Raw genomic sequence first — 16,053 nt, forward strand, 5'->3', positions numbered from 1 at the left:
TCCTGCTGCCCCCCAAAAACCCAGTGCACTGAGAACAGCAGATGTTGCAGCAAAGAGGGAGGTTAATAATTGCAGGGACAGCTAATTGAGAAGAATAGGAGAGGTTTCTCAAATCTGTCTCCCTAAAAAGTTGGAAACTATGGTTTTTCATGGTACTTTTGTGGGCAGAAGCCTGGGGAACTGCAACAACTGATAGACTATGGATGAAATCTCAGGGGTGTCTAAAACTGTCTTTCTGCAGGTGAGTTAGTTCCCAGGAGAGGGTATCTCAGGACCAGGTGGCATCTCTTGGTCTGCCAAAATGCTAAATCTGAAAAATATTTCAAAGACCATTGTTTAGGTTTTACAATAGTAATGTTATCTACAAGAGTAGTTTGGGAAGTTATACATCTTGTGATCCCTGGTTACATGACTCTGGTGCAGTGAACAACTTACATGAAAACACACTAAGTGATGGCAGGTCATTGATTAACTATGCCTATTCTTTAGCAAAGTTCAAGCCCCTACAGTAATTCTAACCTTGTTTTCTGAATGTGGCTTTAATCTGCAGTCAAGGAGTGGGGTCAGTTTCCTTGCCTCAGAGTTTAACTCTCTCTCTCTCTCACTCTCTCTGTGTGTGTATAAATATATATACACAATTATTTACTATTTATTTATTTATTTATTATTTTTTGAGACACAATATTGCTCTGTTGTCCAGGTTGGAGTGCAGTGGTGTGATCTTGGCTCACTGCAGCCTCAACTTCCTGGGCTCAAGCGATCCTCTCACCTCAGCCTCCTGAGTAGCTGGGACTACAGGTGCACACCACCATGCCTGGCTAATTTTTGTAAATTTTTTTTTGAGAAGGGGTTTCACTATGTTCCTGAGGCTGTTCTCCAACTCCTGGGCTCAAGCAATCCTCCTGCCTCGGTCTCCCAAGGTGCTGGGTGGCACCACACCTGGCTTCAAATTTTAACTATAAACTAACTTCCTCACGCAGTTATCTTGGCTGCCACACTAGAATAAGCAAAAACAAAACAATTTAGCCTGTGAGGTCTGATGGAAGATGGAGTCAGTCACGTTAGATTTCTCATATTTGTTTTTCTTTTCCTTTTTTTTTTGATGGAGTTTTGCTGTTGTTGCCCAGGCTGGAGTGCAATGGCGTGATCTCAGCTCACTGCAACCTCTGCCTCCTGGGTTCAAGTGAGTCTCCTGCCTCAGCCTCCCGAGTAGCTGGGATTACAGGCACCCGCCACCATGCCTGGCTAATTTTTTTTTTTTTTTAATAGAGACGGAGTTGCACCATGTTGGCTGGCTGGTTTTGAACTCCTGACCTCAAGCGATCTGCCTACCTCAGCCTCACAAAGTGCTAGGATTACAGGCATGAGCCACCGCACCCAGCCAAGATTTCTCACATTTCTTATAATTCTGCAATCTCAGTTTCAAGACCAAATCCCCAATAACCATAAGGCGTAAAATTGACAAATCTTGAAACTGTAGTGTAAGAATATTACATAGCACCATGATTGTAAATATGAAAACAAACATTTAAAAGATTGAAATTGAATAGAGGCTGGGAATGGGACATTTTGATACAAGGAGGTTTTTTTTTAAGTACTAACTCTTTCATATTTCCTTTACAATAATCTGCTTAAACTTTAAGAACATTTGGAAAAGAAGGTGTCACAGATGTTCCCTTCCAGTCAGACACGTCTTCACTTCTTTGGTTTTACTCCTCTTCTCTGGAGAGATCATGGCAGAGCTTGGCACCGTATATATACTCATGGGGCACTGATGGCAGTGGACATTTGAGTGAGGCAGTCTTTGTTTTTTACTTTTGGAGGGTGATTGTGAAGATGAAATGAAATAACCCACATGGCAATGCCCACAATTCACAAGGCACATAAACAGGGTGTCAGGAAATACTAGCTCAGCAGAGATTCTACATTCATCTTTTCCCTGAGAATGATAATGAGGGATGTTTAGTACTGAAATCAGAAAGAATCAAAACACAGGTATATCTACATATTCTTAGATACAGCAGAAATGTGTTAGTTTTTCTCTGTCCTGGAACAGAAGCAGATGCAGAGATGCAAGTGTTAAAAACTGCATGGTAGAATAAATACTCCATACACTTGGAGTGGCCACATTTAGCAAATAAAAATTGTAATAAATTTAAATTTCAGATAACACATTTTAAAATGTTTTAAATTTTAATTATATTTATTCTACTTTTTTATTTTTATTTTTTGAGACAGGGTCTCACTCTGTGGCCCAGGCTGGAGTACAGTGGTGTGATTACGGCTCACTGCAGCCTCTACCTCTTCGGGCTCAGGCGATCCCCACACCTCAGCCTCCTGAGTAGTTGGACTACAGGTGTGCACCATTTCGCTCAGCTAATTTTTGTATTTTTGTAGAGACAGGGTTTCACCATGTTGCCTAGGCTGGTCTTGTACTCCTGGGATCAACAATCCCCCCACCTCAGCCTCCCAAAGTCCTAGGATTCCAGGTGTGAGCCACTGCACTTGGCCAAGTAACAGATTTTTGAGTATCAGTATGCCCCATGTCACACTGGGGGCATATGGATACTAAAAAATTATTCAGTATTTATCTGAAATTCACATTTAATTGGTGTTGTGTCTTTTATCTGGAAACCTTATAGATGGCTGAATTTGCAGCTGTCATGTCACTGTTTGTGGCTTAATGAAGGAATTCATTTGCCATTTACAAAAATTCAGTACCCAGAAGGAGAAAGGGGATGCTGTTTGGAAGAACATGATGTCACTGCCAATGCTGAATTAACTTGGTGGTCTGGAATACACAATCTGTGAGCATCAGTCTCTGTTTTTGTTTTTGTTTTTGTTTTTGTATTTGTTTTTGTTTTTGTTTTTGAGATGGAGTCTTGCTCAGTCATCCAGGCTGGAGTGCAGTGGCATGATATCTGTTCCCTGCAACCTCTGCCTCCTGGGTTCAAGTGATTCTCCTGTCTCAGTCTCCCAAGTAGCTTGGACTACAGGTGCGCACCACCATGCCCAGATAAATTTTGTATGTTTAGTAGAGATGGGGTTTCACCATGTTGGCCAGGCTGAGCCTTCAGAGGGAGTGTGGCTCGGACCGCACCTTGATTTCAGACTTCTGGTCTCTAGAAATGTGAGAATGCACATTTATTGAGACTCATTCAGTGTCTCAATTTATGGAACTTTGTTAAAACAGACCTAGGAAAATAATACTCCCAATCAGAAGGACAGAACAAACAAGTGGAATTGTCAACACAACACAAAATTGGAGGTATGTACCTTTTTTAGCAGTAATTGTATATTAACTTGCTCTTCCAAAGTGGTGGTTTGGAGAATGGATAAACCCAAGTGTCAAGGATGAAAATAATGATCAATTGAACTCCATATGGAATATAAACCAATTTCACCCTCTCAATATAATATGGGTAATTATTTACTCTTCATGTTGATTTAATATTTGCTTTTATAGAATGAAAAAATATAGGTACACTCACAACTAGGGGCCCTAATCAATGATCATTTATCATGAGCATTTGATTTTCAACACATTATGAATTACATGGTGGTATAGTCAATGCAGCTCACAATAGTGGCTTTGAATCTGCATTGCCCCTGGCCATATGACCTTCAACATATATTTTGAGGTTGGGGGAACAGGAGGAATATTTTTTACGAATTTTGTGTTTGATCCAATATGGTTGTTTTTGAAAGGGCTGTGTGACCCTCTGTGGAAATAAAATTGATTTATAGCTGAACTGGACAAGCTCTATCTATCTCTTGCAACTACTAGAGGTCTGGTCTTTGACCCACGGTCAGTGGGTTTTATGAGATGTTGCTTAAAGTCTCATACTGGGCTTGGTAATTGTAGAATAGAGTGGTTCTTTGCTTTGCATGGTGGGATAAGATTTCTTTTTTAAAATTTTTAATTTTAATTTTTAATCTTTGTAGATACATAGTAGGTGTATGTATTTATGGGGTACATGAGTTGTTTTTGTTTTTTATGAAACAGAGTCTGGCTCCGTCACCGAGGCTGGAGTGCAGTAATGTGGTCTTGGCTCACTACAACCACTGACTCCTGGGTTCAAGCAATTCTCCTGCCTCAGCCCCCTGAGTAGCTGGGACTACAGGTGTGCACCACCATGTAAAGCAAATTCTTGTATTTTTAGTAGAAATGGGGTTTCACCATGTTGGGCAGGCTGGTCTCGAACTCCTGGCCTCAAGTGATCCGCTGGCCTTGGCCTCCCAAAGTGCTAGAATTACATGCATGAGCCACCGTGCCCAGCCTTACATGAGATGTTTCGATACAGGCATACAATGTGAAAGAAGCACATCATGGGGAATGGGATATCCATCCCCTGAAGCATTTATCCTTTCAGCTACAAACAATCCAATGACATTCTTTAAGTTCTTTTAAAATGTACAATTAAGAAATCCCTTGGTCGGGCTCAGTGGCTCACGTCTGTAATCCCAGCACTTTGGGAGGCCAAGGCTAGCAGATCACCTGAGGTCAGGAGTTCAAGACCATCCTGGCCTACATGATGAAACCTCGTCTCTACTAAAAATACAAAAAAATTAGTCAGGTGTTGTTGCACGCACTTGTTGTCCCAGCTACTCAGGAGGCTGAGGCAGCAGAATTGCTTGAACCCAGGAGGCAGAGGTTGCAGTGAGCTGAGATCATGCCATGCCACTATAGCCTGGGAAACTTCATCTCAAAAAAAAAAAAAAAAAAGCAAGAAATCCCTTGAGGGTCAATTTCTTTACTGATGGCTTGCAACTGGCCTAACCACTTGTGAAGTCAGTATGGCTTCACTATATTTAGGTGGTTCAATTCATGCATCAATACGAACCCTGGGATCTTGCACAAGGGTCTCTCTGTATCCCAATGCTGGCCTGCGCACACACTTTTTCTCTCTCTTGCTGTGCTGTGTCCTTCAGTGTTAAATAAAAGCTGTACCACTTCACACCCACTAGGATGGCTACGATTCACAAAATCCAGAAAATAGCAGGTGTCAGCCAGGATGTAGAGAAATGGGAATCTTTGTGCATTGTTGGTGAAAATGCTCAATGGTGCAGCCCCTGTGCAAAACAGTGTGGTGGTTTCTCCAATAATTAAACACAGAGTTAGCATAGGATCCAGCAATTCCACTTCTGGGTATATACTCAAAAGAATTGAAAGCAGGGTCTCAAAGAGATACTTGTAAACCTATGTCCGTAACACTGTTTTTCACTGTAGCCAAGAGGTGGAAGCAACCCAAGTGTCTATCAGCAGAGGAATGGATAAACGAAGTGTGGTCCATCCATACAATGAGACATTGTTCAGCCCTAACGAAGGAAATTCTGACACGTGCTGCAACGTAGATCAACCTTGAGGACATTATGCTAAGTAAAATAAGCCAGGCTCAAAAAGACTAATACTCTATGAGTCCATTCATGTGAAGTCTCTAGAGTCATCCAATGCATAGAGACAATGGTGGGCACTGGGCACTGGGGGAAGGGAACATGAGGAGTTAGTGTTTAATGGGGACAGAATCTCACTGAGGATATTAAAAAAGTTCTGGAGATAGGTGGTGGTGATGGTTGCATAACAGTGTGAATCCACTTAATGCCACTGAACCGTGCACTTAAAAATGGTTAAAATGGTGAGTTTTATATTATGTATATTTGACCAAAATAACAGATAGGTAGATACATAGATGATAGATACATCATACATGATAGATAGTTCATAGCTGGGTGATGATGATACACAAATACATAGATAAATGATAGGTGAGACAGATAGATGATAGGTGATAGATGATAGATGACAGATGGCTAGATGATAGGTAGATACATAGATGGTAGATAGATGATAGACAGAAAAATAGACAGATGATAGGTAGATGATAAGTAGATGATAAGTAGATAGATAGATAATAGGTAGATTATACACAGATGATAGATAGATGGGTAGATAGATGCTACATAGGTAGATAGATAGCCTCCAAGACAATGGGAGAATAAATGTCTGTTGTTTAAGCCCTGCAGTCTATGGTGTTCTGTTATAGCAGCTTGAAATGGACTAAGACACCTCATAAGAAGAGATGAGGACACAGACACACACAGAGAGACGACTGTATGAGGACAAAGGGAGAACACAGAGTCTACAAGCCAAGGAGAGAGGCCTCAGGAGGAACCAGCCCTGCCCACACCTTGATCTCAGACTTCCGACCTCCAGGATTGTAAGGAAATAAATTTCTGTTGTTTAAGCCCCTCAGTCTACAGTCCTTTGTTATGGCAGCTCTAGCAAAGGCATATACCTTCTCCATCCCCTCTCCTCTGATAAATACCAATATCTCAAGAGAACTTGGAGGCAGCTGTTGAAGAGAGCTGAGCCACAATGTTGAAAGTTATTGGGTCCCTGATTCAGGACTTGAAAGAGCATCACCAGCCAACCAGAAACACACACTTTGGGCTTAACACCAGGTATTTGTTAGAAAAAAAAATACGGGCTGGGTGCGGTGGCTCACGCCTGTAATCCCAGCACTTTGGGAGGCTGAGGCGGGCGGATCATGAGGTCAGGAGATTGAGACCATCCTGGCTAACATGGTGAAACCTCGTCTCTACTAAAAATACAAAAAAATTAGCTGGGCATGGTGGCGGGCGCCTGTAGTCCCAGCTACTCGGGAGGCTGAGGCAGGAGAATGGCGTGAACCTGGGAGGCGGAGCTTGCAGTGAGCTGAGATCACCCCACTGCACTCCAGCCTGGGCGACAGAGTGAGACTCTGTCTCAAAAAAAAAAACCAAAAAAAAAAAAAAAAACACTGAGATTTGGTGTTCATTCATCAGCTTAAGCAGCTTATCATGGCCCTAACTAACAAAGCATGTTTTACATAACAGGTACTTTGCCCACAGTCAAGTGTATCAAGATCAAATGATGATGTGCTACACCTTTGCTGTAGATTTCTTATCAATACACTCTTTCCTTGTGTCCTCTGAGAGTCTACTTCACTGCAGGGCTGCTGCTACCAGCTGCTGTGGTCATAGCCTTGGTGTTCTTGTCTAATTAATGAGGGTTCCCATTAAACTAGACTCCAGCTGTTTTGACTTCCAGAATTGCTTTAGGAGAGTCTCTGTGGTCATTAATAAGGTGAGACCTTTTGGTTCCCAATACAAAGAGAGAAGATAATTTATTTTCTACAGCATTTTTTCCCATAAAGCTCTATATTCCGTTACATTTTAAAGGGCATTTCAACAAATGATGTATGAAATGGAGAACAAAATCTGTATGGTTCTGCAGTAAAGGGCATGCAAAACTAGAGAACGGCTCTGAAATGATGTGGAAAAACAGCAATCTACTTTTCTTTAAAAAAATTAAAGGCTTATGCTTCACATAAATTCATGTCGATTTTCCAGGCATTATTTGGTTATAACGTCTGAGGCATTGCATGGATTTACTGGTACCTAAAGTGTGGATTTATTCTTAAGAAGCATGCAGCTCTACAATCTTGTACAGTGAAACGTTGGGCACTCACAAAGTTATGCAAGACAGGTTATGATGTGGGCTTAAGAAAGGTGTTGAGAGCTAGGAGTAGAGATATAGAAGAAAAAAAGTGTAATATTTTCAAGAAAGAGTAATTAGTTTGTAAGTGGAGGCTACTTTCAGTGTTTTTTTTTTTTAATTTTGATGTTTTAGTGTTATGTTTTTTGAGACAGAGTCCAGCTCTGTTGCCCAGGATGGAGTGCAGTGGTGTGAGCATAGCTCACTGCTGTCTTGAACTTCCAGGCTCAAGTGATCCTCCCACCTCAGTTTCCTGAATAGCTAGGACCACAGGCATGCACCATCATGCCTGGCTAATTTTTAAATATTTTGTAGAAACTGGGTCTCCCTTTGTTATCCAGGCTGGTCTCCAACTCCTGGGCTCAAGTGATCCTCCTCCCTTGGCTTCCCAAAGTGTTGAGATTACAGGCATGAGCCACTGTGCCAGGCCAACATTGTTTTTAATATATGACTTGTAAGGCAAGTTGGGGGGCATTAATTCCTTATTAAGATGTACTGAGTTGAATAAAAGCCCCTCCAACCATCAACCCCCCAAAATATATGTCCAAGTACTAAGCTCCAGAATTTGTGAATGCAAACTAATTTGGATAAAGAGTATTTGCATGTAATTAAGGAAAGATTCTTGAGATTAGATCACTATAAATTACCCAGGTGGCCTTTAAATCCAATGACCAGTGTCCTTCTAAGAGACAGAAGAGGAGACACAGACACAGAGGAAAAGGTCACGTGGAGATGGAGGCAGAGAATGTAGTGATGTGGCCACAAGCCCAGGGACACCTGGAGCCACCAGGAGCTGGAAGAGGCAGGAAGGATCCTCTCCTAGAACCTCCAGGGGGAGCGCACCCCTGCCCACACCTTGATCTCAGATTCCTGGTCTCCAATACTGGAAAAGAGTAAACATCTGTTACTTTACACCATCCAAGTTTTTGTTATTTGCTACGGCATCCATAGGAATTAAAAACCTATAGGTATGAATTTTATGTTGCTGTCAAAAGGCTTCTTCTAGGATAAGTAGATATTTCACCTAGATAGTTGTAGCTTTTTCTCCTCTTCATTGGGATCGGAACTCAGTTGGTGTCCTCCATCCTCCTATCTCAATATTGATTTTACTTACTCTTTAATCCTAACAATGAGCCTTTTTATATTGCTTAATTAAATATCAATGTCTTTCTGGTCAACATGAGACCAAAAACCTTTTTACCTTGGGCCTGAGAAAGAGCAGTATTTCTCCTCCTCCTCTTCCTCTTCTTCCTCCTCCTTCCTTCTTCTCCCTCTTTTTAGAGATGGGGTCTCTCTCTGTTGCCCAGGCTAGAGTGCAGTGGCATAATCCTAGCTCACTGCAGCCTCAAACTCCTGGGCTCAAGTGATCTTCCAGCCTCAGCCTGCTGAGTAACTGGGACCACACATGTGCACCACTGTGCCCTATTTTTTTGTTTTTTTAACTTATTTATAGAAATGAGGTCTCACTATGTTGCCCAGGCTGGTCTCATACTTCTGGCCTCAAGTGTTCCTCCTCTTTGGCCTCCCAAAGCACTGGGATTACAGGTGTGAGCCACCATGCTTTGGCATGGTGGGGTATGCAGTAGGAGAGCAGGGGTGGTGGCAGTGTCTCCATATGTACTCTCACTAAAACTGGTGTGGGCAGATACTGGATGCCTACTTATTTAGGGGCATCTAAATTCCTGTGCTAAATTAGAAAATAGAGGCAGCTCTTGAAAGGAGTGATGGCATGAAGGAGAGATGCTTGGACCAACCACCACACAACCCTTATAAATAATTGATAACCTTGGTTTTGATGCCACGTCCTCTTCGACAGTTGTTGGTTGAAATGACACATGATTCCAGGTGAGCTTTTCCAGATAAATTGCCCTGGAACTTCAGACTTTGTCGGGTGAATCGATGTGGAATTTCAGAATGGGCTGGAATGTCTAAGATGGGCATGTCCAATATTCAGCTCAGTGTGGGGAAACTGGTGGTGGCCAGGGCTGGTTGCAAGCTGAGTTGTAGGGGTGACAGTTCACCTGAGAAACAAAAAAACATGCAAGTCCTGGTTCATGAGGAGTGATTTCACAAATAGTGACCATGGAAGTCAATGTTGAAAAAACAAATAGATTCAGGGCATAAGGGTGCAGGTTTGTTACATGGATATGTTGCCTAGTGGTGGGGATTGGCCTTCTGTCCCCTAAACAGTGAACATAATACCAGATAGGTAATTTTTCAACCCTCATCCTCTCCCACCTTCCCCCTTTTAAAGGTGTCCAGTGCCTGTTATTCCATTCTATAGGTCCATGTGTACCCATTTTTAGCTCCCACTTATAAGTGAAAACATGTGGTATTTGATTTTCTGTTTCTGAGTTATCTCACTTAGGATATTGACCTGCAGCTCCATTTATGTTGCTGCAAAAGATACAGTTTCATTCTTTTTTATAGATGCATAGTATTCCTTGGTGTGTGTATACCACATTTTCTTCATCCAATGAACATTCAGGTTCATTCCACGATTTTGCTATTGTGAATTGAGGTGCAATAAAAATGTAAGCATAGGCATCTTTTTTGATAATTTCTTTTCCTTTGCATAGATAATCATTAGTGGAGTTGCTGGGTCAAAGGGCAGATCTATTTTTAGTTCTTTGGGAAATCTACATACTGTTTCCTATAGAGGTTGTACAATTTACTTCTCACCAACAGTGTATAAGCATTCCCTTGTCTCTGTACTCTTGCCAACATGCGTCTGTTGTTTTTGGAAGTCAGTGTTTTTCTACAAGACCTTCATATTGGCTATAAATAAAAGTGATACCTTGGAAGAGAGTCTATTTCTGGACAGCCAGAGAGGGAAATGGGAATGATCAGGAAACATACCGGGATTATAAGAGAGCTTCATTATTTTGGTCTGGCTTGAGTCCGTAAATGGAGTAGCCTCTTAGCGGAACAAAATTTCCTCCAATTATAATGGTAGTTGCCAGAGGCAACAACAGTGAAAGAGCCATTTAAAAAGTCAAAACCAGAGGAATCATTTGACTAGAACCTTCAATGGCTTTGAGTCACTATGCCAGACAGCTCAATTATCTTATCTCTGCCGTGAAAAGCTGTCTTTTTCTTGTACTTACATCTCTTGAGCAGAATCTCACATAAAACATGCCCTAATTACATGGTCCCTATTAGATACTACACCAGGGAGTGCTTGGCTTTGATGGTGCCCAGATTGTCTGAAGTCTGCAGAAATCCACTGCAGGCAGAGGCATTTGGGTGGACCATGTTCCCAAGATTATCACTTTGTAAAATATGGCTCTTGGGAGGGCAAATTTGCATGTAGGGTATTCTGAGGAACAAGTGTCGTACTGCCATCCTAAGGGTCCCTTATGGCAATGCCTGAGTTATGTGTAATTACAACAGCCATGGGTCTAGAGCTTAAGCCTCCTGCTTCCATGGAACCAATGCATTCAAAGGTTGAAGGCACCTTTGAGATTTTCTAGGCTGGCTACCAAGTCCTATGTAGGAGAAAGATGAAGTCTAACAAAGCCAGGTGATTTTCAGCCACACAATGTGTACCTTGATCTAGGGTCAGGTTATTCAGCCTCCTACTACACCAAATTTTAGAATACAATTTTTATTAGGTGGGATTTAATTAATGTCACTGATGTATAAAAGTAAAAAGAACATGTTACAGATGTAAGATATATAGATTATATATTTATCTGTATACATAAGAGAAATAGATGGACGGATGGATAGATAGACAGATGGATAACTAGAAGATAGAAAATTACACACATACATTCATAAATACATATATACATAGATGGATAGATAGATGATTGACAGAGAGAACAATATAGGTAAATGTAGATAGACGATAGATGATAGAAAGATAGACAATAGGTAGATAGATGTTAGATGGAATAGATGACAGATTAATGATAGGTAGATAGAATAGATAGATAATGAATAGATGATAGAAAGATAGACAGATAGACAATAATAGGTAGGTAGATAGATGATAGATGGAATAGATAGATAGATGGTGGATAGATATATGGAATAGACGATAGATTATAGATGGAATGAACGGATAGATAGAATATAGTAATAGAATGCATCTACCTGAAAATACAAGAGAGAAGAAAAAGAGATTGGGAGTTTTTCCACTCTATAACTTTGGGGCAAAGAAAATAGCATTAATGAAAAAGCAAAGAACGGGAAAATAAAAAGTTTTTATCCAGAACCACCCTTCCAGCAAAAGAAAATGTAGGGCAAGCAAAATATTAAGCATTTCATACTCACTTGTGTAGGCCACGGGAACTATTATGAAAAGGTGGATGTTGCATGTTTCAGTATATTTTTTGTTTTGTTTTGTTTTTGAGATGGACTCTCGCTGTGTTGCCCAGGCTGGAGTGCAATGGCGAGGTCTCAGCTCACTGCAACCTCCGCCTCCTGGGTTCAAGCAATTCTCCTGTCTCAGCCTCCCGAGTAGCTGAGATTACAGGTGCATGCCGCCATGCCTGGCTAATTTTTTGTACTTCAGTAAAGATGGGGTTTCACTGTTTTGCCCAGGCTAGTCTTGAACCCCTGAGCTCAGGCAATCCACCTGCGTTGGCCTCCCAAAGTGCTGAGATTACAGGTGTGAGCCACCACGCCCGACCTCAGTACACTTTTAATATACACAGAGCTTTGCCACATTTTGGAGGGTTACCTACTATTGCAATTTCTGGATTTTTATTTCATTTTTTATGTTTGTGTCTCTCCATTTTAGTTTAATGTAATGCAATTCAATAGATTTTCTCATTAAAATAAAATCTCAGCCTCTCTCCATTGCATAGGATGAAGCAGGCATGATGTAGGGCAAGCTCACTGGCTGGATTCAGACCCTTGAAGGAGGCCGGGCGCGGTGGCTCATGCCTGTAATCCCAGCACTTTGGGAGGCTGAGGTGGGCAGATCACTTGAGGTCAGGCATTTGAGACCAGCCTGGCCAACATGGTGAAACTCTGTCTCTACCAAAAAACCCCCAAAAATGAAAATACAAAAATTAACTGAGTGTGGTGGTGCGTGCCTGTAGTCCCAGCTACTTGGGAGGTTGAGGTGGGAGAATCCCTTGAACCTGGGAGGTGGAGGTTACAGTGAGCCGGGATCATGCCACTGCACTCCAGACTGTGTGACAGAGACCCTGTCTCAAAAAAAAAACAACACAAAACCCAAAACAGACCCTTGAGAAGTGAGCATTTTGCAGTATTCCATTTGGGAGCTGGCTATTCTGCTTCCTCCTGACATCCCAAAGGACACAGGATGGCCTGAGCTCCCAGGTACCCTGGGTTTCCCAGTAAGAATTCCAGGAGTGTTGAGAGAAATGCAAATTGTCTCTGCAGAGCAGCAGACCCCAGAGCTTAAAGGCTTCTCTCCGTTCACAGATTGCCGCATGGAGATGAGAGGAAATAGAGGGTGAACAGATCTCCTGCTACTGCACATGCTACTTTTGATTTCCCAGCTGGTGTTTGAAGGCTGTGCAAGGTGTTGGTTTGCAGGATGATGGAGACCCAGATCATTGTGAATCCATGACCGTGTGGCCGTTTGCATCGACTCAGCCTTACTGCAGATACTAACCTTCATTCCCCTCTCCAGCTATGCACTGGTTTTCTGCATACCACTTGGAATTTATGTTGGCTCTGAGTCATCTGACTCTCACATGAGAAAGAACCAAATAATGACCTGTTATTTTAAAAGAAAGTATCTGCATATGGCTTCTTGTCTGCCGAATGTTGCACATTAGGCCTTTTTTATTGAGTTTCAAATAAACCCCTGAATTAATTCTGCAGGCAAAGGCATTGATGTTAGCACCATTTGATCGCTTGAATGCACGTCATAACAGCATTTTAACGTGCTTACAGCAAGGGGGATGAGACCATATCGAGGATGCACTTTGTCGTTATTAAGGTTAAAAACACCAAGATAGCTGGGTGCGGTGGCTCAGGCCTGTAATCCCAGCACTTTGGGAGGCCGAGGTTGAAGGAAGAGAAAGACCCTCTCATATTATTTTATATTGTTTTATACTCAGTACCTGTTTTAAGCAAAAACAGCAAGGAAGTAAAACCAAAGACAGGCAGCTCGGTGCCAGGCCTGAAACCAGGCCTGGGCCTGCCTGGCCTACACCCAGTAGTTAAAAATCAACTCATGACTTAGAAACCGGTGTTATTCATAGATTCCAGACATTGTATAGAAGAACACTGTGAAACTCCCTGCCCTGTTCTGTTTCTCTCTGACCACCGGTGCATACAGCCCCTGTCACGTACCCCCTGCTTGCTCAAATCAATCACGACCCTTTCATGTGAAATCTTTAATGTTGTGAACCCTTAAAAGGGACAGAAATTGTGCACTCGGGGAGCTCGGATTTTAAGGCAGTAGCTTGCCGATGCTCCCAGCTGAATAAAGCCCTTCCTTCTACAACTCGGGGTCTGAGAGGTTTTGTCTGCGGCTCATCCTGCTACAAGGTGGGTGGATCACTTGAGTCCAGGAGTTTGAGACTAGCCTGGCCAACATGGCGAAACCCTGTCTCTACAAAAAATACAAAAATTAGCCAGGTGTTGTGTTGTGTACCTGTAGTCCCATACTCAAGAGGCTAAGGTGGGTGGATCTCTGGAGCCTGGGAAGTCAAGGCTGCAGTGAGTGGAGATCATGCCACTGCACTCCAGCCTGGGTGACTGAGCGAGACTCTGTCTCAAAAAAAAAAAATAAAAAAAAAAAAAGAAGAAGAAAAGACATGTACAATAGATTATTGTAAACTACAGTCACTTGCTGATCTATTGAACACTATGTCTTTTTTCTCTTATCGAAGTGTATATTTGCAAAGTGGGAGGATTTCTTGAGCTCAGGAGCTCGAGACCTGCCTGGGCAACCTAGTGAGACCCTGTCTCTACAAAAAAAAAACACAAAAGCCAGCCTGGCATGGTGGCATGCACCTGTAGTCCTAGCTACTGGGGAGGCTGAGGTAGGAGGATTGCTTGAGCCCAGGAGTTCAAGGTTACCGTGAGCTATGATCGCACCACTGTACTTCAGTCTGGCAACAGAGCAGAATCCTGTCTCCAAAAAAACAAAACAAAAAACCAAAAAAACCTAAGATATTTGCATCCATTAATCAAACTATTTTTATCTCCCTTCTCTGCTCCCTTCCCAGCCTCTGGTAGCCACCAATCTACTCTCTATCTCCATGAGATCCAGGTTTTAAGCTCCCACATGTGAGTGAGAACATGCAGTATTTTTCTTCTGTGCCTGGCTTATTTCACTTAACATAATGACCTCCAGTTCCATCCATCAGGCCTCCTTTTTTCACGGAGGATTTATTTTAGGAAACTTGCAATTGTGAGTTCTTTCTCTATCTCTTTGAGATGCAAATCTTCTCCCAAATTTTCTTCTAGCCTCTTCCTAGTTTTGCAACCCAGGAATGCCTTTCTCAAGACTTCAGAGCCATCCCTTTAAAATGCAATTATTGAAGGAGATGATACATCTGTGTCTCAGTTTTTGTAGAAGGGCAGATTCCTAGTTTTGAAAAATTCCAATGAGCCAACGCAGATAGCTTTACAGCATTTCCTAACCTCTTCCTGATGTCTCCAGTTCCTTCTCAGCATCTCACCCCGGCACTTAAAAACTCTCCAGCCTTTTGTTTCAACAAAGTTAAGCTCCTTCTCTCTTCCGTGTTGCAGTAGTCCTGACTGAGTCCTTCCTTGAAGGTTTAACTTGTCTGGTGCAATTTTTTCTTTGACAATGTCCAGATCAAATGATCCCATAAAAACATCGAGTGTGATTTTAGCCTGAGAAGGGGGAGGGTGAGAAGATAGATTGGGAGGCAGCTGTGTAGGCAGGGGACTTGGCCACTCCCTAAACCTCTCCCAGTCTCACCTGTAAATGGAGTGCATAGGCAGCAGTGCTTCTCCCCCAAGGCTGGGGCGATGGAATCAGTTAGACTACTGAGGGCATCTGGAAGGGCATCTGTGTCAGGGTTAGTCCTCAGGGTATGGTGGCCAATGGGTTTCTTTTGGTTGACTGTTGACAATGCGTTTGTTGAATGGCAGCCTGCACTAGGTGACGCTGAAGCCACAGAAGACACTGCAGTGGGAAAACCAGCATGAGCCGCTGCCCCCAAGGAACCTCGAAGCCCAGGCAGAGGACCAGCCATCCCAGCCTGCAGGTAAAGTGTGTCACCTGTCAGGTGGGCTTGGGGTGAGTGGGTGGGGGAAGTGTGTGTGCAAAGGGGGTGTGAGTGTGTATGCGTGTGAGCATGAGTGATGGCTAGTGTGACTGCATGTCAGGGAGTGTGAACAAGCGTGCGAGGGTGTGTGTGCAAGTGCGTATGCATATGAGAATATGTGTCTGTGGATGAGTGCATTTGAAAGTCTGTGTGTGTGTGTGTGTGGTCATGAGGGTAAGTTAGTGACTGCGCAGGATGTGTGAGTGTGCATGGAACACTCAGTGTGTGTGGCAAGTGTGTAGGCGTGTGAGGACAGGCAGAAGTGTGTCAGTGTGATGGGAG

General features: G+C 42.6%; 1 pseudogene across 2 annotated transcripts in view; it reads right to left on the reverse strand.

The window, feature by feature from the left end:
- Positions 1–1,481: 1,481 nt before the first annotated feature.
- FAM239B (family with sequence similarity 239 member B) overlaps positions 1,482–16,053 on the reverse strand; it is a 35,468-nt pseudogene continuing 20,896 nt past the window's right edge. The window contains exons 3-4 of one of the 2 annotated variants that reach the window (NR_146579.1): positions 9,323–9,558; positions 1,482–3,122 (exon numbers count right to left, since the gene is read on the reverse strand). The product of NR_146579.1 is annotated as a family with sequence similarity 239 member B, transcript variant 2 (transcript). Of the gene's footprint in view, positions 3,123–5,623; positions 9,559–15,422; positions 15,630–16,053 lie in introns of those variants that run through there. The other variant, NR_146578.1, reaches the window with a different exon arrangement.

Source organism: Homo sapiens, chromosome X, assembly GCF_000001405.40.
Source record: "Homo sapiens chromosome X, GRCh38.p14 Primary Assembly".
NCBI classification, from domain to species: domain Eukaryota; kingdom Metazoa; phylum Chordata; class Mammalia; order Primates; family Hominidae; genus Homo; species Homo sapiens.